Source organism: Homo sapiens, chromosome 2, assembly GCF_000001405.40.
Source record: "Homo sapiens chromosome 2, GRCh38.p14 Primary Assembly".
In the NCBI taxonomy this organism is placed as follows: Eukaryota; Metazoa; Chordata; class Mammalia; order Primates; family Hominidae; genus Homo; species Homo sapiens.
In genome coordinates this window covers 238,774,556-238,800,138 of record NC_000002.12, presented here as the reverse complement: position 1 = coordinate 238,800,138, position 25,583 = coordinate 238,774,556, and the positions used below count along the sequence as shown (strand labels likewise).

The window sequence follows — 25,583 nt, the reverse complement described above, 5'->3', positions numbered from 1 at the left end:
CATTGTTTATAAATTACCCAGTACATGGAATTTTGTTACAGCTGCAGGAATGGACTCTTTCCCTTCCTTTAGCTCTTTGAATATTTAAAGTGTGTCTAGTTTACAGTTTCATTCAGATTATTCTATTAACTTTAGTTCCTGGGGTACAAATATTCCCATTCTGGGGCAATGGACCCTTTGGTCTATTTTAGTTGACACTGGGCTCAGCTGTAGCTACTTCTCATCCGTGAGCATGGTTTTCAGCCTTCTGTCTCCACACTCTGAGCATAGAAGTGTGACTTTGGGCCTCACACCTGCACACAGCACAGGCTGAGCTTCTTCTCACTTCACAGCCTTTTAAAGGATTTCTTCTTCCAGGCTATGACCTGTGGCCAAAACACAGATCTTTCTGCTCCCTCCCTGCTCACGCTTGGAAACTTCCAAACTCTCCTCTCCTAGATTCAAACAAGAAGAGAAATTCCGGATTCTTTCTTCTCATGGTCATTTGAACCCCTCCTACTGTGAGAACTCCAGCCCACCTGCACACCCTCTTTGGAGCACACCACTGAGACTCCTGTTCACTGCTCCAACTGAGAGCTTCCTCTTGATTTCTGGGAACTGGTTTCCCTTTCTTGCTTTTTTGTCTTGGCTCAATTTTTAAATTTAAAGAACAGGTGCAGTGGCTCACACCTGTAATCCCAGCACTTTGGGAAGCCAAGACAGAAGGATCCTTTGAAGCCAGGAGTTTGAAACAAGCCCGGACAACACAGCAAGACTCCATTTCTACAAAAAAAAAAAAAAATAATTATCTGGGTGTGGTGGCATGCACCTGTAGACCCAGCTACTCAGGCTGCTAAGCTGAGAGAATCACTTTAGCCCAGAATTGGAGGCTGCAGTGAGTTATGATGGCACCACTGCACTCCAGCCTGTGTGACAGAACAAGACCATCTCAAAATAAATAAATTTAGATCAGCAGTTTTAAGTGTTTGGAGAAGACTGGACAAATCTCATGACTGTTGGATCCTTTGTAATGACTATAAATCTACTTAATTTTTGTGGATTCAAAAGTGCTGTAACATCCATTTGGGCTAGGCCTCCTCCATCTCTTCCTTATCTTCACTTCCCATTCTTTCCTTTCTTATCTTTCTTTTCCTTTCCTTATTTGTTGAAGCCATTTTCACATGACTTCCAAATGCACTTATTTTTGTGAAGTTAGAGAAATCCTATACGAATTTTAATTTGAATTAAGTAATTTATATGTTTGTAATATTTAGTCTTCTTATCTAGAAACATGCTGTAGGAAATTGTGTTTCCTGTCCACTCCTCTTTATCTTCTCTTATCCTTCCTTATTTTGTGAAGTTAAAATCCTGTAGGAATTTTAATTTGAATTAAGGAATTTGTATGTTTGTAATATTTAGTCTTATCTAAAAACATGGTGTAATAAATTTTGTTTCCTGTTCACTCTTCTGTTGTCTCCTCTTTTCCTTCCTTGCATCCCTCCCTTCCTCCTATTGTGCTTCCAAATGTTCACTAGAATGTGAACTACTTGGGTAATGTTGAAGAATCCTATTGACTTGGATACTCAGGTACAAACATCCCTCAGTATCCAATGGAGACTTATTCCAGGACCCCCAAACAGACCAAAATTTAAGGATGCTCAAGTCCCTGATATAAAACGGCATAGTATTTACACATAACCTACACACATCCTCCTGTTTGCTTTAAATCACCTCTAGATTATTTATAATTCCTAATACAGTGTAAATGCCCTATAAATAGTTGTTATATTGTATTGATTTTATTTATATTATTTTTAATTTTCATATTACTATATTTAATTGTTTTTCCCAGTATTTTTTATCCTCAGTTGATTGAATCTGCAGATTGGAAACCCTGGAATACAGAGGGCTTAATGATATTTTCACATCACTCAGGAAAGTTTTCTTCTATTATAACTTTGATTTGCTTTTTTTTTCTTTTTCTAGAAATTATTATTTTTCATAAGTTGGATCTTTATTCTGTCTTCTCTGTCTATCATTATCTCTCCCATCATTTTCTTATTTTTTATTCTTTATATCTGCATTTCGAGATGATGTTTTAAAAGCTTGATTATTTTCACCATGAATTCAACTTTCAGCATTGTGAACTCAGCCTTTACAGTTCCTAGGGCAGACTACAGAACGTGTGGCTTCACTGTGGTCTCTTCTTACTGCAGCCAACAGCTGCCATGCCAAGGTCCTTCCCAGCCCTCCCTTCTCTAGGCTCCATATTCCCCTGGTGGGTGCAGACCCAGAGTTAGGAGTAAACAGATGGGTAGCGGGCGAGATGGAAGGACTCCATCCTCTTCCTGCATCACACCTGCTCTCTTCCGAGGGAAGCACGCTCTGACCACCATTTGTGTTTCTCAGGCCACCTTCTTTGGTGCCATGGTTGCTTCAGGTTCTTCCTCGCTGCAGTGTCCCCTCTTCATTACACCCCTGGCCTCCTTCACTGTCCAGAAGGACTGTGAGAACAACCCTAGCTCCAGAGAGAACAAGCCGACAATGAAGCGACCTCACACCTGGCATCTGCTGGAAAATGGGGCAACACGGTCCTTGCCCTTCTTGTCCAGGCATCTTTTAACCTCAGAATGGCCCAGGTGGGCTCCGTGAGCTCCCTCTGGACCGCTTCCCTCTGCGGCTGCTCATCTGACCCTGCCCACCCCGTCCTCCTCCTGTGGACCCCAGCCTTCGTTCTTGCTCTATCCGGGATGGGGGATGGAAAAGCCCATCTGAACACACTTCGAAATGAGGGATAATCTTAGCTTTCTGAACTTTATCAAGTTATGGGGGGAAATCAGATCTCCAGAAGGAGGGAGAGTGCTTCTTAGAAAGGAAGAGAGCTGGAAAGACAAAAAGACAGAGTGTCCTCCCCCAACCTGGCCAAATTTAGAATTGGATATCGGTTCTTTACCAAACAGCCCGTTGAATCAGCTAATTAAATGACAAACATTAGCCAATGGACTGTTGGTGTCATGTAGTTCAAACACCTGTTTAATCTATTGAATTCTTCATCTTGCAACCTATTGTTTTTCCATTTTTTATTAAGGCGTGATTTCCATTCAGTAAAATTTATCCTTTTCAGTCTTGATAAATGTATACTGTCGTGTAACCACCACACAATCAAGACATAACATGATTCTGTCACCTTCCTCACCTAAATTTCTAATGTATCTAAACCTTACAATCAAGTAAAGACACAGAGAGTCGTTCACTGAAAATGAGATCTGGCCTTAAAAGTAGTTCTTGTGGACAGAGATTCTCCCAGTTACCTTCCCGTCTCATTTACACTGAATTTGCTCAAAATGTGAGAATGTCAGGAAGAAGGTGCATGTGCGTGCGCCTGTGTGCTTAATACCGGCAACACTAATTCAACAAAATTGACTTCAAAAGCCACCCAAGTGTTCTGTCGCCTGCCAGCGTGCATTGCACAGCCCCGCGTCCTTGTGGTGCCCACCCAGGTTGAGCCGAATGAAGCCCTTTTCCGGAGCAGCAGTGCGCAGTGGGAGTTATTGTCAGAGGGAAGGGCACAGAAGGGAAAGGTTACAGGAGGATGGGAGGGAACCAGGACTTAGTGAGAAGCTGATGTGGAGCAGGGAGTGGGCAGGGCAGGGGTGGTCCAGGGACAGAGAGGCAGGCACGGACATGAAGGGGACCTGCAGGCTCTGTGATGTCAGTGGGCACAGTGACCAGCTGTCCTCCTGCCACACAGGCAGTGCTGGGCAGGGGGTGTCCTACTGCGGCATCCCGGCCAGGATGGCAGGGCCCCAACAAAGGTCATTGCCACCTTGCTTTTTTCTCTCGTCAACATACATGTATGATCACTCACGTGTTTCCTCTCTGCAAACATCCTCCCCATAAAGCAGGGGTACTAACACCTCCAGAACAAAACTGCAGCACCAGAGACCTCTCAGGTTAAGTTTTAAACTGAGCCAGAACCCTATGATAATTTTGCGATTCTCATAAAAGAGTAGTGTTTTTAAGCTCAAAGAGCCCGGAGGCTGAGGAGCTTGATGACAGTTCTCAGAATGGAGGTGAGCAGGAAGACGCTGCCTCCCAGCTCCCCGGCAGGTGCTCGCCTGCATTAGACTTGCAGACTTAGCTCATTTGACCCTGGAGAGCCCAGCCTGGCATCTGCCGTCTACACATGGGATCTCCCACAGACTCACCTCTTTCCAGGAAAGGTGATGCTGACCAAGAAACACTGATATTTCAAAGCCTACAAACTGAGCCTTGGACAAAATCAGCCTCCAGCTGCCTCTTGACTTTATTACCAAACGAACCGTGCAACAAATATCATGAAAATGCCTTTGAACTAAAAGGAAAAAAATGTTTATGCAATTCAGGGTGTTTCATTAAGGCACGGTTTGCATTCAGTAACATTCATCCTTTTTACTTTTGACAAATGTCCACAGTTGTGTGACCACCACCACGGTCAAGATGTAAATTCTGGCAAATTCTGGCACGTGGCATGGCATAATTGAAAGCCAAGGCCAGCTCTCCCTGTGGGGCTGGTTAGGGTGGCAGCACGTGGCATAGCATCATTGAAGGCCACGGCCAGCTCTCCCTGTGGGGCTGGTTAGGGTGGCAGCACGTGGCATAGCGTCATTGAAGGCCACGGCCAGCTCTCTCTGTGGGGCTGGTTAGGGTGGCAGCACGTGGCATAGCGTCATTGAAGGCCACGGCCAGCTCTCCCTGTGGGGTTGGTTAGGGTGGCAGCATGTGGCATAGCATCATTGAAGGCCACGGCCAGCTCTCCCTGTGGGGCTGGTTAGGGTGGCAGCACGTGGCATAGCGTCATTGAAGGCCACGGCCGGCTGTCCCTGTGGGGTTGGTTAGGGTGGCAGCACATGGCATAGCGTCATTGAAGGCCACGGCCGGCTCTCCCTGTGGGGCTGGTTAGGGTGGCAGCACGTGGCATAGCGTCATTGAAGGCCATGGCCGGCTCTCCCTGTGGGGCTGGTTAGGGTGGCAGCACGTGGCATAGCGTCATTGAAGGCCACGGCCAGCTCTCCCTGTGGGGCTGGTTAGGGTGGCAGCACGTGGCATAGCGTCATTGAAGGCCACGGCCAGCTCTCCCTGTGGGGTTGGTTAGGGTGGCAGCATGTGGCATAGCATCATTGAAGGCCACGGCCAGCTCTCCCTGTGGGGCTGGTTAGGGTGGCAGCACGTGGCATAGCGTCATTGAAGGCCACAGCCGGCTCTCCCTGTGGGGCTGGTTAGGGTGGCAGCTCTGATGGCATAGCGTCATTGAAGGCCACGGCCGGCTGTCCCTGTGGGGTTGGTTAGGGTGGCAGCACGTGGCATAGCGTCATTGAAGGCCACAGCCGGCTCTCCCTGTGGGGCTGGTTAGGGTGGCAGCTCTGATGGCATAGCGTCATTGAAGGCCACGGCCGGCTGTCCCTGTGGGGTTGGTTAGGGTGGCAGCACATGGCATAGCGTCATTGAAGGCCATGGCCGGCTCTCCCTGTGGGGCTGGTTAGGGTGGCAGCACGTGGCATAGCGTCATTGAAGGCCATGGCCGGCTCTCCCTGTGGGGCTGGTTAGGGTGGCAGCACGTGGCATAGTGTCATTGAAGGCCACGGCCAGCTCTCCCTGTGGGGCTGGTTAGGGTGGCAGCACGTGGCAGATGGCCTCAGGTCGCATCCTGTCAGTGGCTTTGGATAGTTACTGGATCTTTCTAAGGTTTCCATTTTCTCAGCCACAAATGGAGATGACAACATTGTCCACCTAAAGATAGATGTGAGAGGAGTTGACAGGAGGATGGGCAATGCCCAGGCACAAGGAACCATCGGCTCCTCCCAGCCATTTGCTTGCATGGAGAGGCTTTCATCTGTTAGCATATCCAGGAGCCCCCCTCCTCCCGGGGATTCTGCCATATCCTTCCACCAGAACCCAGATGAGACCCCCTGCGTGGAATGAGAAATAACAACACCACTGGTAACAGCAGAGCCCACTCTTTCATGGAATTCTGGGCTCCCTGCAGGTGCTAAGGATTTCACATAAATTAATTTGTTTAATCCACACCATGTATGCAGTAAGCATTACTCAATCTCCATGCTACATGTGAGAAAACTGTTGTATAGGGAAGGCCGTTTGCCCAGGAATTCACAGTGGCTAAGAGTGGAGCCTGAACGAGGGTCTGCGTTCTCACCCGTGACATGGTCCCCGTTTCAGGAGGGAGGGCGTGGAGGGGAGGCAGAAAGACAGGCTGGAAACCATGGCTGGAAACTCTAATTTATCTAGGAGGAATGATGTTTCTCATATAGGAAGTGAGAAGAACCCTTATAAAATGATGTTTATGAAACAACAAAAAATTAAAAATAGAAAAAGGAGTTGAATAGATATTCCTCCCAGAAGAAATAAAAATTCCAATAAGATGACGAAAAGATGCTCAACATCACTAATCATTAGGGAAATGTAAATCAAAACCACAAGGAGATACCACTTCACATTCATCAGGATGACTATTTTATATATATATATATATATAACAAAAACAAAAAAAACATGTAAATCACAAGTGTTGGCAAGGATGTGGAGAAATTGGAAGCCTTGTGCATTTCTGATGGGAACGTGAAATGGTGCAGCTGCTGTGGAGAACAGTATGGCGGTACCTCAAAAAATTAAACATACAATTACCAGATGATCCAGCAATTCCCCTGCTGGGCGTATACCCAAAATAATGCAAAGCAGAGGCTGAAATGGATACTTGCACACCGTATGTGGAACAACATTATTCACAATAGCCAAAAGGGGGAGGCAACCCGAGTGTCCACAAACAGATGAATGGCTAAACCAAATGTGGTCCATCCACAGAGTGGAGCATTACTCACCCTTAAAAAGGAAGGAAATCCTAGTACCTGCTGCAATGTGGATGAATTCTGAAGGCATTTATGCTATGTGAAATAAGCCATACACAAAAGAACAAATACTGGCTGGGCGCGGTGGCTCACACCTGTAATCCCAGCACTTTGGGAGGCCGAGGTGGGTGAATCACAAGGTCAGGAGTTTGAGGCCAGCCTGGCTAACACGGTGAGACCCCGTCCCTACTAAAAATACAAAAATTAGCTGGACGCGGTGGTGCGCCTGTAATCCCAGCTACTTGGAAGGCTGGGGCAAGAGAGTCACTTGAACCTGGGAGGTGGAAGTTGTAATGAGCCGAGATCGTGCCACTGCACTCCAGCCCTGGGCAAAACAGCGGGACTCCATCTCAAAAAAAGAAAAAAAAAAAAAAAGAACAAATACTATATGATTCCACTCATATGAGGTCAAGTTCTTAGAGAGGGAGGGTAGAATGGTGGGTGCCACAATGGTGGGTGCTGGGGGCTGGGAGAGGGGAACTGGGCGTTTGTGTTTAGTGATACAGAGTTCAGTTTTACAAAATGAAAGGAGCTATGGAGAGGGATCCTGGTGATGGTTACATGACAATGTGAATGTTCTTAATGCCATTAAATGGTATACTTAGAACGGTTAAAAATGGTATATTTTATGTTATGTCTATTTTATCACAATTTCAAAAATGTATGTCTAATCCCAGCACTTTGGGAGGACAAGGTGGGTGGATCGCTTGAGGTCAAGAGTTCGAGACCAGTCTGGCCAACATGGTGAAACCCTGTTTCTACTAAAAATACAAAAATTAAGCAGGCATGGTGATGCACACCTATAGTCCCAGCTACTTGGGAGGCTGAGACAGGAGAATCGCTTGAACCTGGGAAGCAGAGGTTGCAGTGAGCTGAGGTGGCACCACTGCACTCCAGCCTGGGTGACTAGCAAAACTCCATCTCAAAAAAATAATAATAATAATTATGTCATGGGTCTCCTCGCAAGTGAGAGAGGGAGAGGGAGGAAGGGGAGAGGTTATCAAGGGCTCTCTCTGGCTTTTACTGGCCATTATCTCCTTTACGCATTTCTACATTTTTTAGTGCCTTTATGACAATCATATGCTGCTTTTACAATTAGAAAAGGAAAGAGGGTCACTTATTGAAGCCCCCTTACCTCCCACCTCTTCCCCTCCCTTCCACTGACCCTCCCTTTGTCTTCTTGAGTGCTTGTCCCTAAAGGTGGAAAAGATATTATTAGACCCATTTTGCAAAGGAGAAAATAGAGACTCTGAGAGGAAAAATGAATTACCCAAGGCCACAGCCCAGTACCTGGTGATGCCTGGAACCAGGCCAGATCCTGCTGGGGTCACCAGGACCCCACCCCGCCCCCTACCCCGCCCCCCCCCACCACCACCACCCTGCCTTCCTGCAAAGGCGAAATCACTGAACACCAAAATCCCCTGCTCATCATCCCTGCTGGGGCTATTTCTGTTTTAAATAGCTGGAGGCTTTGCCTAGCAGAGATTCTGTGAAATACAGCAGGGTGGTCATGTCTGGGGTGTGTCCCTGTACAAACCAGGCTCACCACTGCACCAGAAATCAGGTCTGCTCTGACCTGACCACACACACCCAGAACAGCAACGTTCTGACTTACATGATCCAGATAATCCCCGGCCTGCCCTCCCGCCCCGTGAGCATGGACACTACCGGAAGGGCGGCTGCGGGAGCTGGCCCGTCTGTGCTCATGGCTCTCTGCTATGTTGCCATTTCCAGGGAAGCATTTGCCGCATTTTGTGTTGATTGATGTCCCCCACCCTGCCCCCCTACCCCGGCATCACCTCAGACCCCTGCAGAGGCCAGGGCTGAAGCCCAGCTCCTTCAGGGACACAGGCGCTCCGATGCCTTTGACCAGCTGGGCACGGGCTGGCCCCACGTTTTCAGCACTCTCCTTTTTTTCTTAAATAAAAGAGCTGGCAGGGGAGGCAGTTTCTAGAGTGTTTGAATTGGCCCCATTTATAAATCTGTCCTTTTTTTTTCTCTTACGGATACTATAACCACAAACTGCATTCGCTTACAGTCACTTTTACACTTGGTTCTCTTCGGCTTATTATCTGCAATTCTAAGAGATGTCTGTGATAACTAAGCTGTTTCTACACACAGCCTTGCTGCGGTGTTGGAAGCCATGAGCCAACTGCGGGTGGGCTGGAGTCTGTGTGGTTCTGAGCGGCTGAGATGAGCCAGCCCCACTGCGCCTGGGTCCTACATCTACAAAACCGTGTTTTCCAGCTGGGAGAGACCAGGGCCCAGGGCTTCAAGAGCAGACAGGCAGGGAAATCCCTGGCCCAGGACCCTTGCTAGGCAGCCACCGGCCTCCTCAAACGCTCCCCCTTGTTGGCCCTTTGGCGGCAACAGTGTCTCCCTCTTCAATGGAGAAGACCGGGTCCTGCAGGGGACTTTTTAGCCGATTTTTTTCCCAGCTCGTATTGTGCAGGCTCTGAGCTGTGTTTATTTGGATCTTTCTGAAGAACCCTCTAACCGTATTCCATGTCTGTAGATGTGTTTGGCAGAGTTGTGCGGTTTTCATCTTCTTCTTTTTTAAGTTGCAAATGCTTAAAATTCTGCTGGCTTTTTAGCTCCCAAGGGAACCCCCCCATCTCCAGCCCCCATGTGCCGTTGCCATGGTGATCTCCCTTTCCCTTTAAAGTCTGGAATGCCGCATTCCATAAGATTTGCACAGAAAGTCGCTTGATCATAGGCAAAGGCCTGTCTGTCCGTCTCCAACATTCTGTATCAATAAACACGCTCTGAGACCCTCTCTCTGCCTTGCTGTTAGAAATCAGGCTTTGACCCTCATCTGAGGGACTCTGGAAGGGTCCAGGGCAAACGGGGTTCGGCCTGGTATTCGCAGATTGTCTCCCGTTCCCTTTCCTCGGTACATTAGCATTTTCATCTATCGTCACAAGAATATCAGTGTGAGTTAGAGCAGCGGTGCAATTATATATGCAGGGGAATGCAGCCCCAGGCTCCAAATATTGAATTTTACACAGATACTAAGGGCATGTAAAATGTTAAAGTACATTTAAGTCCTCAAATAAATAACTTTAATTACATAAAGAACTAGATTTCAAGGAAATTACGGTTATTTGCTATAGGAAATTAACCTCCAAGTCATGTTTACGACTTAATGGATAGTCATTTTGGGGAGAATTCTCTCTTCTTTGAGTCTACATGTTCAACCCTTTTCTGAAACAGGAATAGGACTAATTGCTCTTGAGTGAAAGATTGTTGTGTATTTTGTCTCAGATCAGATGGATGAAAGTAAACAAAAGATACAATGTTTCCTTATACAGAGAAGTTGCCTCCTCAAAAAAAAAAAAAAAATCCCACAATCAGAATAAAGCATCAGGAATAAGACCACCATTTTGTTATAACACAACATTCCTCTGTATTAAATAATGACGGGTTTTATGTTTGTTACTGAGCAGAGTTTTTTTTTTAATTATTTCAAGAGCATGTCCTTTAGTGTTTATAACTGGGCTGACTGTGATATTAAACAGCCAGGAGGTGTTAGCAGCTGATTAAAGGAGGGAAAGGAGACCCTGCTAATTATACGGCAACCTTAGAATCGGTTTCTCCCGCTGAACTAGAGGACAAGCCACACACCTGCAGAACTTTACCAGCAGGAGCAGTGCTGGGACCCAACTCAGGCAACCAGCTCTGCTAATGAACCCAGAAAAAGCACACAAACTTGTTTTCCCTCCAAGACAGAGACAACACAGTGGGGTTTTCAGAAGTGTGTGGTGTGGAAGCAGCCAGGTGTAGCCACTGCACAAATGCAGTGGGAACACTCTCGTATGATAAAATCAAAGACGATGTCGCCTGCTTCCACATGACAGATCCAGGAAACTGCAGGATAGAATCACGCTCGTGTGCCTGGGCAGGGAGAGCTGGTTCACCCATGTCTGAACACTGGGACACCAGTTCTCCTCCAAACATCTTGGACTACTTAAATGCAAAGGTGAGTCTGGGTGTGGCTGAATTTGTGCATTGAATTTCTTTAACAGTAAATGTCAAGTGGAATACGGCATCAAGCTAGTTTCAGGAAACTTTCCACTCCAGTTATTTTGTTTTCTAATTATATGATATACTTTCTATCACAAGGCCCACTAGGATTTTTAAGTCTGATTTTTTTTAAAAAGTATTTATTATATAACAAGTTGATGGGCCAAGCACCTTCATTGTAGCACTGTGGCCATGCTTTTTAGAAAAGTGTTCTCCATTGCCATGATTGTGTTTGCATATCTATGCATAAATATGGGCAAAATGTTGCGTAAAGTTAAGCATGTACTAGAATTAGAGAAAAAAATTCTCAATTCTAGAAATGTTTGGAGACAGAATACTCTTTCCATTGCTAATTTAATGCAGGTTTTAAAAATGTTCTATAACTTTACAAAATTACAGATGGAAAAGATTTTTGTCCTTCTTCTTTATCTAGACAAATTCAGGAAAGCCCGGAGGCCTGGTATAGATGTTTCATCAAAAATTTCACCGTGCTGTGTCAGAAATCAGAAGACAGAATTTAGAACCATCCCGTTTCCTCTGCAGAAAGCTTTTCAAGAAGATACACTCGGAATTAGCAATATTTCCACCAAAATATGAAGTGTAAAGAGAGCCTTCAATAAAGCCACAGGTTTGATGTTTTTTCTTTTTAAAAGGAAAAAAACTAATTTAAAATTATTTTTAAAAGAAAAAAACCACAAGATAATGAAAATGAAGTTATACCTAGGCTGATATTGCATTTGCCAATATTTTACTCCCACTGTTTAATCATTTTAATAGTTGCATTTAAGAGTTTAGGATATTCAAACCTCACCCAGCTATAGCAAAAAAAAGAAAGCTGTGTGATTTAAGTAGTGTCCTTTTCTGCATAATTTTAAATTAGTTTTTATTTTTAATTAATTGTGAAATTGCTGGTGAGGCTTTGGTGCCTTCTTAACTGCTATAATGAACAAATTCATTTAAACTTCAATTTAGCAATCTACAGTTTTCTAAGAGCTCAAATAAATGAAAATTCAAACATAATTTTAAAAAAGGATTCCATTAACTACAAAAGGGTCTATATCAAGTTTATTAGAAAGTATGGAATTGCTACAAGAACACATTTTCAATTTTATAAATTAGTTTTCAGAGGCTTAAGCAGAACAACACATAGAGAGAAAAAGTAGAAGTTTGTTGGTTAAAAAAAAAAATCCCATTCTAATGAACCGAGGCTATAGCTTAAAACACAGCCAAAGCTTTAAAGCTTGGTCGTCCAGATTTCTGTGTGACCATTTTAACACAGGGCATCTCTAGTTCCCAATGGAAATATTTCTTTTCCGGCACTTTCATTTTCTGAAACAATTTACTGGAGTTTCATAAAAAGAGAATAACAGCTTTGTGTTTCATTGTTGAGGATTTTACTTCACTTTACATAACTTTTCCTCATTTCACTTAGTGGCTATTTGAGGAGCTTGACTGAACTCTAGGTAACCTCTTAGGTTATGCCTGCTGGATTTCAGGGACCTGGAGCTGCTGGTGCTGGCAGGCCAGTGGTGACTCGGGGTGCCTGTCTGACCGCCTAGGAGCTGGGACTGGGCTCTCTGCGTACATACAACTGCATGGGGGACAGGGGACTTCTGCCTTTGTTTGGACAAAGGATGCGGTAAGACCAGAGAAAAGGAAGGCTTTACCTGTGGCTCTTTGCACTTTTAATACTCTAGAAGGAAATAGTGAGTCTACTTTAATGGAAAATAGCGAATCTTTTGCAGGACTCAAAAAAGGAAGTTTGCTAAGAGCAAGGAAATGTGAAGGAGTTGGAGCGACAGCGTTAGAACATTTAATTTGGCTTTATGTTGTAATTATGACTTGCGGGAAGTGGCCTGGCGTGTATGAATGCTGTTGCTGGAAAGAGCACTTGAGCATCAGCGAAAATTCTGAAAGCTGTGTTTACAACGGACGCACACACAACAGAAAGCAAACCGTGGAGACGAGGGTTTTGGAAACGTGCCCTCCTCGGCATTCATTATAACCAATAATTAATTAAGAGATTTTTTAAAGTCCCTTCCTTGGCATCACGTTCCTCAGTGAGAATGCGGATGAGAAGTCAGAGGTGTTTGGGACATAAGTGCAAGTAGTTACGGGCAGGGTTTTTCAGTTTTGGTTTTTAAAGAGAATGAAAACGAAGTGGGGAGACAGCGGCACAGTGTGCGGTGCCCTGCCGGCCAGGCCACGCTTTCTCCACCCTGACTCCCACGTTCGCTCAACAGTATGAGAACTTCACGGTAACATGGAAGGGATCCCCGCACTCCCTCTAATGCTATTTCTGTTCGATGCGTTCTTTGGCTGCGAATTTGAGAACTGCCTTTTTGGCAAAGCCAGTGAGTTTTGTGTTTTCAGATCAACCGAAAGGACGTTGACTTTCAGGTTCCCGATCCTTCTGAATCCAATCCCAAATTTAAAACAGCATCCGATCCTGGCTACAGCCTGAGCTGGGCCCCAGGTCAGCCAAGCTTCCCAGGTGGAAAGGAAGGAATCCAGGTTGCCCAAGATGCTGTGGCCTGGGTGACAGTTACCAGCCTCCAGAGAGGCCTCAGCCTTCGGGGTGCCTTGCTCAGAGCAGGCACATACCTCTCACCGCAAGAGCCATCTGACCATGGTTACTCGACCCCTCCCCCAGAGTGAGTTCACTGTCCACCAGAGGGGACAGCTCCCACTGCCAGGCTTCGGTGAAACCACGTGGACTGTGGAAGCAACCCAGTGTCCACTGATGAATGAATGGAGAAACGAAAGGTGATTTATCCGTAGGGTGGGACAGCACCCGGCCTTGGAAAGGAAGGGAACATGGACGGCACCTAAGGATGTTCTGCTGAGTGAAACAACCAGCCACAAAAAGACGAACCTTGCACGATTCCACTCACATGAGGAAGCTAAGGGGTCAAAATCATAGAGACGGAAAGTAGGATTGCGGGTGCCAGGGCTGGGGGAGGAAACAGGGAGTTCGTGTTTCATGGGGGACAGAGTCTCATTTGGGAAGATGGAAAGTTCTGGAGCTGAATAGTGGTGACGGTTGCACAGCAGCGCAGATGTGCTTAATGCCACTGAAGTGTGCACTTAAAATGATAAAAATGGCAAATTTTATGTTATGTATGTTTCACCACAATAAAAAAGGGAATAGCATTTTTCTTGTCAAATGGGGCTGGTGGTAGCTGCTCTGTAGCCTCATAAAGAAGTTCCTAAGTTTTTTTTTTATTTCCTTTTTTTAAATTTGGGTTTAAAACTGCTGTTTCCTTTTTCACTGTGGTAAAATATACATAACATAAAATTTACCATTTGAACCATAAGTTAGCCCAGGCCCTGCTTCTGGCCCCTGCTCTTCCTGAGTCCTGGTTGGTGCCCCCTTCATCCGTCCATACTTGCCACAAGCCCCTCTTGTCCGGTCCTGGGCACAGAGGTCCTGGTGGAAGAGACAGTCCCTGCCCAAGAACAGGGAAGGACATAGATGGGAGAAGGGACCCACTGCCCAGGGGACCAGCACCAGAGCTCAGCTCTCGGGCTCCCTGCGTGGCCCTGGCCTCTCGACCTCGCTGGACTCAGTCTCCTGACGTCTCCAGTGAAGAGCTGGAGTGGTGAGTCCCAGAGCCACTTCCGGCATGGGACAGAGGCCTGTACCTCAACACCAGCGATTTGCTGTGTGATCTTAGGCAAGTCAATATGTGTCTCTGGGACATACAGTGAGTTGTCTAAGATCACACAAACCCCCCACCACTTTAAAAAAAAAAATGGAGGGGATTTGATCAAGATCATGTCAGGATCCTTTCCAGTTTGGACATCCTGTGATTTTGGAATCTTCACCCACAGTTCTGAGCTTTTAAAAAATCCACATTTGTGTTATTTCCTTGTGATAGGGGAGAATAGCCCTGATGTCAGATCTCACTTGCTTATAGTGCTGTGTGCGTGCACATGTGAATAAAGGAATGTTCAGAAACGCTTTTCCTAACAGAGAACCTGTTCCCCGGGGCCAAGCGCAGAGTCCGTGTAACTTGCCTTTGAAGTGTGTCACCTGCTGCGTGACCACAAGAGGGCGGTGCATGCAATGGATTTTGTCAGCACGCGGGGGCCAGAGCTCACAACTTTAATTTGAGAGTTTTTCTTCCCTGGAGTCTCTTGCAGGGTCTTTCTCTGGGAGGCTCAATGCCTCCCGCATCTTCTTCAACAGGCTGAACACACATGTGGAAGCAGCTGAAGAACTGAGACTACTTAAAAGCAGAATATTTTGTAATCACCAAATAGAATCCATTTCGTAATAAAACTGGCTACAAAATATTTTAGGGTTCAGTATGATACATCACAAAGTAATTTAGGCAAGGAAGCACACCAGGCTTAAAAATCAAACGTGGCACCCTGCAGGTTTGCAGCCATGCCTCCAGCAGGCGGGTCGGGTTGGCGAGTTTCTAAACTTTGAGGAGGGAAGGCTGGGTGGCCAGGCTCCATCCAGAGCCTCTTGGCTCACTGTGCCGCCAGCAGTGTAATTGCATCCTGGTGTGACCCACAGGCTGTATCTACAACACTGCGCTGGTGAAGCAATGCTGTTACTAGATTTGAAAACAGGCAAAATGGCTCTGAAAGGAGAGAAAAATGGAAAAGCTCCTTTCCCCAACATTCCACTCCTCTGTCTTCATGGCCTCTGCGTTGGTCCAGCCAGAGGGATTATTTGAGTCCTGTGTCCCAGCCCACCTTTCCCTGGCTTAATGGTGCAGCCACACCTCTGGTTGAGAATACACGCCTGTGTAACTCATTGATTCTGATCTCCTTCATGCTCAGCACCTGCTTCCTTTAGCATCCCCAATGCAAGCGCTTCGAAGCCCATGCTGACAGCCTGGTCATATATCCTTTGGCCCCTCTGCATAAGTAGGAGAGGGGAGAGCTCCTCCTAAAAGTGCTGTGCCCTTAGTAACTGACTATTATTGAATTAGAATGGTGGAGTGAGGAGTTCCTCTCTGCCAGGCACTGTCCTAGGATTTGCATTTGTGAAGAATCACTTGCTTTCCAATTGACTTTGTAACTTTATTTGTGATTGGTTTTCAATGGCAGCCAACATTTCTTCTTTAACTTCCTCTATCTCTCGCTTTTTCTTCCTATGGTCATCTAAACACCTTGAAAAGATGAAGACATCATATATGAAAGTTAAGGCACCATGGGTCATGCATCTTTTAACTATAATTTTGTCCTGGGATCTGCTACCGACTGGTGCTATCAGTAGTCGATAGCACAGTGCTAGAGCAGAGAAGAAAGACTCCACACAGCTGGGATTAGAGACAAATTTGTTACATTCACACTTCAACCCAAGTTTGTCAGACACGTGTCTAAACGACCCATGAATTATTTATTAAGCAAACATTTATTAAAAGCCTACATTGTGCAAAACGAAGTCACTGAGCCTTAAGGATGTGATATGAATTAATTCAACAGGTTCCTTGGCCTCAAAACTATCACCGTGAGAAACAAGACACATATACAGATGTGTGTGAAGAGAGCAGTGACACTTCTTCAGCTGGTGACAAATGCCTTCAGCGCCCTTTGTTACTCCCAGTTAAGTTCATTTGCTCATCCGTTCATGTAATCTACGCGCATGCAGTTTCCACTGAATGTCAGGTGCCATGTCAGGCATGGGGGTGTTGAGATGAGGAAGGCTGACCTAGTGCAGATGGACTGAGTGTAAGGTGCCATGTCAGGCATGGGGGTGTTGAGATGAGGAAGGCCGACCTAGTGCAGTTGGACTGAGTGTCAGGTGCCATGTCAGGCATGGGGGCGTTGAGATGAGGAAGGCCGACCTAGTGCAGATGGACTGAGTGTCAGGTGCCATGTCAGGCATGGGGGCGTTGAGATGAGGAAGGCCGACCTAGTGCAGATGGACTGAGTGTCAGGTGCCATGTCTGGCATGGAGGCGTTGAGATAAGGAAGGCTGACCTAGTGTAGATGGACTGAATGTCAGGTGCCATGTCAGGCATGGGGGCATTGAGATGAGGAAGGCCAACCTAGCGCAGATGGAGAGAACCACAGCACAAAGACTTTGTCACAGACCAAATTTACCCTCCATAGGAAACAAAAACACACAAAAAGCAGACCAAATATGAAAAACAACGGTCTTCCGAACACTGGAAGGAGGCAGTGAAGGACAGTGATCCCTGTGGGATGGGAAGGAAACCATTGAGCCCTATGGTAGCCCAATGCACTGCCTTGAGTTTTCAGGCCACAGAACAAGAAGGAGGCATCTCCTCCACTCAGGCAGAGCCCAGCAGACTCTCTGAGTTGGGAAGATAGAGATTTCGGGGAGACCAGTGCAACTACCCTTGGCAGGGCAGAGTCCCAGAGAGGAGAGAATCCAGAGATCTGCAGAGGCTCACCTTCAGGATTGGCGGGTGTGTGTGAGGAAACTGCCCAAGACCGAGCAAAGAATCACCTTAAAGATGAAAGGAAATAATGCCTGGCACTCACATCGGTCTGCAAATAGCACCTGTGCCCACATGACAAACTGGAAATCTCAGAGGACATCGGGTGGCGTATCAGTACTTGCCTGAGTATTGGAGAATAAGTACCCTTAGTGTAAACGAGGTTCCGGTTCCACCTAACAAACTTCAAAAGTAAGATCCAAGAGGATCAAGAAACTCAGTCGCATCCCAGAACAAACCTCAAGAATATGTGCAGATATACAAAAACACCCAGCACCCAACGAGATGAAATTCTCAATATCTGGCATCCAATCAAAGATTACCAGGCAGATAAAGAAACAGAAAAATATGTCCTATAATAAGGAGAAAAATCAATCAAAACAGACCCAGAACTGATGCAGATGTTAGAATTAGCAGACAAAGAAATAAAAGTTACCATAACTGTATTCCATATGTTTTAAAAGTGGAGTAAAGATGTGGAAGATATAAAAAGGACAAATTAAAGTTTTAAAGATGAAAACTATAATGGCTGAAATGAAAAACACACTGGATGGATTCATGGCAGGTTACACGTTACAGAATAAAATATTAGTGAACTTGAAGACACGGTAATAGAAGCTCTCCGAAATGAAACATAGAGGGGAAAAAAGTCATTTTTTCTTTTTGAGAAGAAGTTGGGCCAAGTTTCTTCTTTTTAAGTTTTGTTTTTTTTGTTTTTGTTTTTGTTTTTGAGGCGGAGTCTCACTATAGCCCAGGCTGGAGTGCAGTGGTGCGACCTCCGCTTACTGCAAACTCTGTCTCCTGGGTTCACGCCATTCTCCTGCCTCAGCCTCCCGAGTAGCTGGGACTACAGGCACCTGCCACCACTCCCAGCTATTTTTTTTTTTTTTTTGTATTTTTAGTAGAGACGGGGTTTCACCGTGTTAGCCAGGATGGTCTCGATCTCCTGACCTCGCAATCCGCCCGCCTCGGCCTCCCAAAGTGCTGGGATTACAGGCGGGAGCCACCGCACCCGGCCCTTTTTAACTTTTATTTTCGGTTCAAGGTGCGTGTGCAGTTTGTTACGTAGGTAAACTGTGTGTCACAGGGGTTTGGTGTACAGATTATTTCATCACCCAGGTAATGAGCATAGTACCCAATAGGTAATTTCATGATCCTCTCTCTCCTCTCACCCTCCACCCTCAAGCAGGCCCTGTTGTCTCTTGTTCTCCTCTTTGTGTTCATGTGTCCTCGTTGTTTCACTGCCACTTATAAGTGAGAGCATGGTATTTGGTTTTCTGTTCCTGCGTGAATTTGCTTAGGATCATGGCCTCCAGCTCCATCAATGTTGCTGCAAAGGACATGATTTCATGCTTTTTTATGGCTGCATAGTATTCTATGGTGTATGTTTTCTTTATCCAGTCTACCATTGTGGGGTATTTAGGTTGATCCACCTCTTTGCTATTGTGAATAGTGCTGCAACAAACATACGCATGCATGTGCCTTTATGGTGTTTTTTTAAGTGAAAATTGTATCAGTGAGATATGGTACAACTTCAAGTGGCCTAATATATGTGTAATTGAAGTCCCTGAAGGAGAGGAGAGAAAGTGGGATAGAAAATATATTTGAAGCAGTAATGGTCAAAAAATTTTCCAAATTTGATGAAAACTATAAACTGATAGACCCAATAAGCTCAATGAGCCTTAATCTTGAGGAAACTACGTGAAGAAAACCACACCAAAGGCAGGTCATAATCAAACGGCTCAAAGCCAGTGATGGACAGGACAATCTTAAAAGTGACCAGAGAAAAGTGGCATTTTGCATGCAGGGGACGGATGATAAGATGAGAGCAGATTTCTCATCAGAAACAATACGGGCAAGAAGATGGTGGAGTAACACATTTAAATTACAAAAACGAAAATGCCATGAGCCTAAAACTCTACGCCTGTCTCCATTACCTTCCGAAACTAAAGGTCAAACAGAGTCTTTTTTCAGAGGAACTCAAGCTGAAAGCATTTTTCACCAGCAGACACACTACAAGAAATGTTCAAGAAAGTCCCATCAGAAGAAAAATGACACCAAACGGAAATTCGGATCTACACAGAGGAATGAAGAGTACCGGAAACAGTAACTATGTGAGTAAATATATTGATAGTTTTCTTATTATACAGAATCTCTTTAAAATAAAATTGACCATTTAACAAAAATAATAACAGAGCATGAGGTTCCTAACATATGTATAAGTAAAATGAATGGCAACCTTAGCATCAAGGCTGGGAGTGAAGATGTGAAAGTATACTATTGTAAGGTTTTTATACTATACCTAAAGTCGTGTATTACTTCAAGACAGACCGTCATAACTTAGAGGTGCATATAGACCCTAAGGCGATCACTGAAATAACAAAAGAAAGAATTATAGGGCTGGGCGTGGTGGCTCACACCTGTAATCACAGTACTTTGGGAGGCCGAGGTGGGTGGATCATGAGGTCAAGAGATTGAGACCATCCTGGCTAACACGGTGAAACCCCGTCTCTACTAAAAATACAAAAAATTAGCCGGGCGTGGTGGCGGGTGCCTGTAGTCCCAGCTACTCTGGAGGCTGAGGCAGGAGAATGGCGTGAACCCAGGAGGCGGAGCTTGCAGTGAGCTGAGATTGCGCCACTGGACTCCAGCCTGGGTGACAGAGCGAGACTGTCTCAAAAAAAAAAAAGAAAGAATTATAGCTAATAAGCTATATGAGTGGATAAAATGGAATCATAGAAACTATTCAATTAATCTAAAAGAGGGCTAAAAGGGGAACAAAAAACAGATGAGACAAATAGATGATAAGCTTAAGCTGAACCATATCAATCATCATATGAAATCTACACTGTCTAAATGCCTCAATTAAAAGGCAGATGTCAGCTTTGATGAAAAGCAAGTCTATGATGCTTACAAGAAACCCACTTTATATAGAAAGACAAAAAAATATTAAATGTAAAAGGATGGAAAAAGATACACCATGCTAAGACTAATCAACCATAAATCTGGAGCGTTTACTCATCAAAGTGGACTTCAAAGCAAAGAATATCACCAGGGATAAAGAAATGAATGATCATTTCATAATGATAAAGGGATCAATTCATCAAAAGGACATAACAATCCTAACTGTTCATTTATCTTATTATAGAGCTTCAAAATACACGAAGCGAAATCTGACAGAACCACAACAAGAACTAGACAAATCCATAATTGTCAACAGAGATTCCAATATCGTCAATAATTGATAGAACATATGGACAGAAAATCAATAATGATATAGAAGAGTTGAACAGCACCTGCTGCCAGGTCTGTCCACCCAGATCATGGAACCAGCTCCTCCTGGCTTGGCGCACAGCCACAAAAGACCTGTCGCCGGGACCACCTGCAACCGGTTTCCATCATCCTCCAGCACATGAGGTGTATTTCCACTTCTTTCTTCTTGTATAGGACATTTCTGCCTGCAGCGGCCTCCTGACTAGTCTCCAGATTTCCAGGAATTCAAAGACCCAGTTTGTCCTCCCAACCCTTAGTGGGCAATTAGTCTTCATTTTCAGATGTGCGACTGAGGTTTGGGAGCTGACTCGAGCCACACAGCTGCATAGCTGGGGCCAGCGTCCAAGCTCAGGGGCCTCTGCCTGTGTCTTGTACCCTAAGTCCTGGTGTCCCTGCTGTCCCTGGGTGCAGCTGTTGAGTTCCTTGGGAAAGGGTAGGACCGATATTCAGGCCCCACAACCGTGGGACTTATACCCCTTTGGGAAGGGCATTATACCTCTTGGGGAAGGGCATTATCTCCCCACCTGCCTGACCTCTGGCCCTTCATGGCACCATGGCAGGTGCCACATCAGTGTTTGCAAATGAGTGAGGCTTTGGCCTGAGCTGGTCTTGGGCTCAATGTAAAACTAGAATTCAGTTCTTTTCAGGGTCCTATGCCAGAACCATGACTATGCTGAGCCTGGACCCCTGGGTGGCCCAGTGGGGTACCCTGAAAAGCCTGCCCCAGCTTCCCAACTGGAGATGTGGGGCCCCTGGACCGAACAGGTGCTTCCTCTGCTCTCTGCTGTGAGACGCAACAGCGCATGGGGCCAGGGTGGTGGGTGCATATCTCTGGACCCATCTGAGGCATGTGAAGGTTTCCTCAGAGTGCAGAAAGCATAGAGGGTCCCAGGCACAGCCATGAGGGTGGAGAATTGCCAGCTCAGCCATGCTCTGTCTTCTGAGGAGCCCTCTCCCATGGGTTTGTGCCAATCTGCAGCTCCCTCCCCTGACATGGAAGCTTCCGGAGCTCCTCGCTCTGCTCCATTTAGCAAAACCACCCATCAGTTCTCAAACAGAGCTGCCCCATGTGGTCCCTGCACAGTGGAGGACTCAGTCTTCCTCCCTGGGCAGCCTCGTGGTGAGGCTGGGGCTACTGCTTCAATGTCCCCCAAGGGCCGGCTATGTGGGCCCAGGGAAAGTGGAGCGACTCGGGCTCATTTGTCCTGGCAGGAAACCACCTTGGCCGGAAACACAGGCATGTTCTTCATCAGCCATGCGGGGCCTCGAGGGCCTGGCGGGATCTTACGTGCGCTTTTCCCGTTCCCGCCTGCTCTCTTCTGCACAAAGTCACCGGTGAGATGAACCCTTTCCTAAAAGAAAGCAATCTGCTGACACGTAACTGCAAAAAGAGGAAACACTCCCACTGTCTGAGAGAGAAAAGGGCAGACAGATTATGTCTCTGGAATGTTCCATGCTACCTAAAGGAGGGTTCAGGCTTCAACTGGCCCTGGCCACCCTTCAGCCAGGAGTGGCAGACTAGGCTCTGGAGCTGGGCAGCCCCATTTGCCTGGCAAAGGGAAACTGGGCCCTGGAGACCTGTCCTCAGAGGGACAGTGGGGGTCTGCCTCAGAGACTGTGGGGTGACCACACCCCAAGACCACCTCGGAGCTGGTAAGCAGGAAGTCAGGCCTCACGTCCAGGGCTTCTGGGTCTCTGGGCCTCTGGGTCTCTGGGCCTCCGGATATTCAGGGGTTCCCGCACAAGCCTGCCCGCGACTTAGTGCTGGAAGTCCAGAGACACAGGCACAGAACCCAGGCCTGCTGGCCTCAGGAATTAGACCACGCTCTGGGACCATGAGCCTCATGGGAGAACAAAGACGTGGAGGAGCTTTCCACAGCCTTCGGGGAGCTTCAAGGCACTTCCATGCTGAGTGACTTCTCTGACCAACGTCCTTCCTCTTTCCATGCTCAGTGACTTCTCTGACAAACGTCCTTCCCCTTTCCATGCTCAGTGACTTCTCTGACAAACGTCCATCCTCTTTCCATGCTGAGTGACTTCTCTGACAAACGTCCTTCCTCTTTCCATGCTGAGTGACTTCTCTGACAAACGTCCTTCCCCTTTCCATGCTGAGTGACTTCTCTGACAAACGTCCTTCCCCTTTCCATGCTGAGTGACTTCTCTGACAAACGTCCTTCCTCTTTCCATGCTGAGTGACTTCTCTGACAAACGTCCTTCCTCTTTCCATGCTCAGTGACTTCTCTGACAAACGTCCTTCCTCTTTCCATGCTGAGTGACTTCTCTGACAAACGTCCTTCCCCTTTCCATGCTGAGTGACTTCTCTGACAAACGTCCTTCCTCTTTCCATGCTCAGTGACTTCTCTGACAAACGTCCTTCCCCTTTCCATGCTGAGTGACTTCTCTGACAAACGTCCTTCCCCTTTCCATGCTGAGTGACTTCTCTGACAAACGTCCTTCCTCTTTCCATGCTGAGTGACTTCTCTGACAAACGTCCTTCCTCTTTCCATGCTGAGTGACTTCTCTGACAAACGTCCTTCCTCTTTCCATGCTCAGTGACTTCTCTGACAAACGTCCTTCTTCTTTCCATGCTGAGTGACTTCTCTGACAAACGTCCTTCCTCTTTCCATGCTGAGTGACTTCTCTGACAAACGTCCTTCCTCTTTCCATGCTGAGTGACTTCTCTGACAAACGTCCGTCCTCTTTCCATGCTGAGTGACTTCTCTGACAAACGTCCTTCCCCTTTCCATGCTGAGTGACTTCTCTGACAAACGTCCTTCCCCTTTCCATGCTGAGTGACTTCTCTGACAAACATCCGTCCCCTTTCCATGCTGAGTGACTTCTCTGACAAACGTCCTTCCTCTTTCCATGCTGAGTGACTTGTCTGACAAACATCCTTCCTCTTTCCATGCTGAGTGACTTCTCTGACAAACGTCCTTCCTCTTTCCATGCTCAGTGACTTCTCTGACAAACGTCCTTCCTCTTTCCATGCTCAGTGACTTCTCTGACAAACGTCCTTCCTCTTTCCATGCTCAGTGACTTCTCTGACAAACGTCCTTCCTCTTTCTATGCTGGGATTTTTCCTCTTAGCACCTGAACCTACCCAGGTTTACAGGAATTGGGAGCAAATTTGGGAACGGACTCCAGCCTCCAGGTGAGGAGAAGCAGGCTGCAGTGTGGCTCTCTGGGCGGCTGCAGAGAGGTGTGCACCCTGGAGAAAGGCTCGTTTGTATTGAGAGGTGTTCCATGACTTTTAACAGTGACTTGAGTCAGCCGACATCTCCCCTTCCCCACTGCATCCGGGCCCCCCTACCCGCTGTCTGTCCCCACCGCACCCAGGCTCCCCGCCCTGCTCTCTGGCCACTCCCCTTCTCATGAGCAGCCGCCTTCCTCAGGGCTTACTCGACAGGCCCCAGGTAACTCCGGGTTGCCCAGCTTGTCACCTGCTGCATCCCTCTGTTGCTTTGGCATTTCCACTTGCATTGCCTCTCGCTCTCGATGTGCCTGTGACTGCACCACTCCAGGTCCACACGCCATCCAGCTGCTCAGAACAGGAACTGGGAAGGCAGCCGAGTTATCCTTCTTTCTCATGCCTACCTCCAGCCGGTGCCCAGTCCTGCCCATTTCCCCTCCAGATATCTCGAGTCCCACTGCTTCTCTCCACACCAAGCACACTTGCTCCCATCCAGCCTGTCCAATCCGGCCTCTGGGGGGCAACTAAACTGCTGCTGATCGTCCTGCTACAGAGCTTGCTCCACACCCATTGCAACGGGGGTGACCCCCAAAACTCAACCAGGATTGCACCACTCCTGTGTTCAAGACCCTCCACCGGTGTCCCACCACACTGTGAGTATAGCCGCATTCTTTTCCTCCAACGGGAGTTCGTAAAACCCAGCTCCCGCTCACTCCATCCCCTCTCTCTGGACTCCAGCCCTGACTCAGGGCCTGGCTCTCCCTGGGCCACGCTGCCACCTCCCACCCTGGGGGTCTCTGCTGTGAGTTACCCTGCAGACGCCGCCCCACAACCACCTGTCTCAGGAAGATCTCCCACCCCAGTGTTCCAGGTCCCAAGGCCTCGGTGCCTCACAACTTATTCCGACTGGTTACTTATTAACCTGCCTACAGTCTCTTTTCACAAGGCATGGACTCCACAAGGCTAGGGCTGTTCTGTTTCCTCTGTCCCAGCACTGACATCGTGCCCTGCCTGCCCTCAGCACTAACAAAGACTTACTGATCAAAAGGAATGAATTCTTGAAACAGCCTGGAGATGTCCGGTACCCTGCTATTTGGCTCATGTTTGTTCAAATCTCTTCCCATATTTTTCTGCCCATTGGAATCCTTCTCATGGATTGCCTCCTCCAGGAAGTCTTCCAGGACGTGCCCTGGTCCTCTTTTGCTCTCTCAGTCACTTTCCCTGCTCTTCTGTTGAGCCCTGGAACAGGAACTCATGGCTTTCCAGCTCCTACTGGAGATGCAGCACCTTGAGATGGGGAATCCAATGTCTGCTTCTCAGACCCTGGTGGCCAGAGGGGACCATGGCAGAGGTCCCTGTGGGCCTTTGGTGGGCTGTGGCCGATTTGGTTGTTGAGTGGTCAAATTGTCTTGAGGAAACAGGGCAACACTAGCTTTCTTGAGAGCCAATGGAGTGTGTGCAGTCCACACCTTGTGGAAACACACTCCAAGGGGCCCAGGCATGAAAGATCCATGACACAGAGTCAGGGCCTCAGGAAGGCAGGTGATATGGTTTGGCTGTGTCCCCATTAAACCTCAACTTAAATTGTATCTCCCAGAATTCCCATGAGTTGTGGGAGGGACCCAGGGGGAGGTAATTGAATCATGAGGGCTGGTCTTTCCTGTGCAATTCTCGTGATAGTGAGTAAGTCTCACAAGATCTGATGGGTTTATTGGGGTTTCCACTTTTGCCTCTTCCTCATTTTCTCTTGCTACTGCCATGTAAGAAGTGCCTTTCACCTCCCACCATGAT

At 46.9% G+C, this 25,583-nt stretch overlaps 3 annotated features.

Moving 5' to 3' along the window:
* Window positions 16,148–16,651: an enhancer, noted in NCBI's record as "H3K27ac-H3K4me1 hESC enhancer chr2:239692129-239692632 (GRCh37/hg19 assembly coordinates)". NCBI's record gives its function as "activates a minimal SCP1, AML or CMV promoter by ChIP-STARR-seq in naive H9 embryonic stem cells {active_cell/tissue: H9 hESC(naive)}" and the evidence as "EXISTENCE:reporter gene assay evidence [ECO:0000049][PMID:30033119]".
* Window positions 23,539–24,039: an enhancer, noted in NCBI's record as "H3K4me1 hESC enhancer chr2:239684741-239685241 (GRCh37/hg19 assembly coordinates)". NCBI's record gives its function as "activates a minimal SCP1, AML or CMV promoter by ChIP-STARR-seq in primed H9 embryonic stem cells {active_cell/tissue: H9 hESC(primed)}" and the evidence as "EXISTENCE:reporter gene assay evidence [ECO:0000049][PMID:30033119]".
* Window positions 24,040–24,540: an enhancer, noted in NCBI's record as "H3K4me1 hESC enhancer chr2:239684240-239684740 (GRCh37/hg19 assembly coordinates)". NCBI's record gives its function as "activates a minimal SCP1, AML or CMV promoter by ChIP-STARR-seq in primed H9 embryonic stem cells {active_cell/tissue: H9 hESC(primed)}" and the evidence as "EXISTENCE:reporter gene assay evidence [ECO:0000049][PMID:30033119]".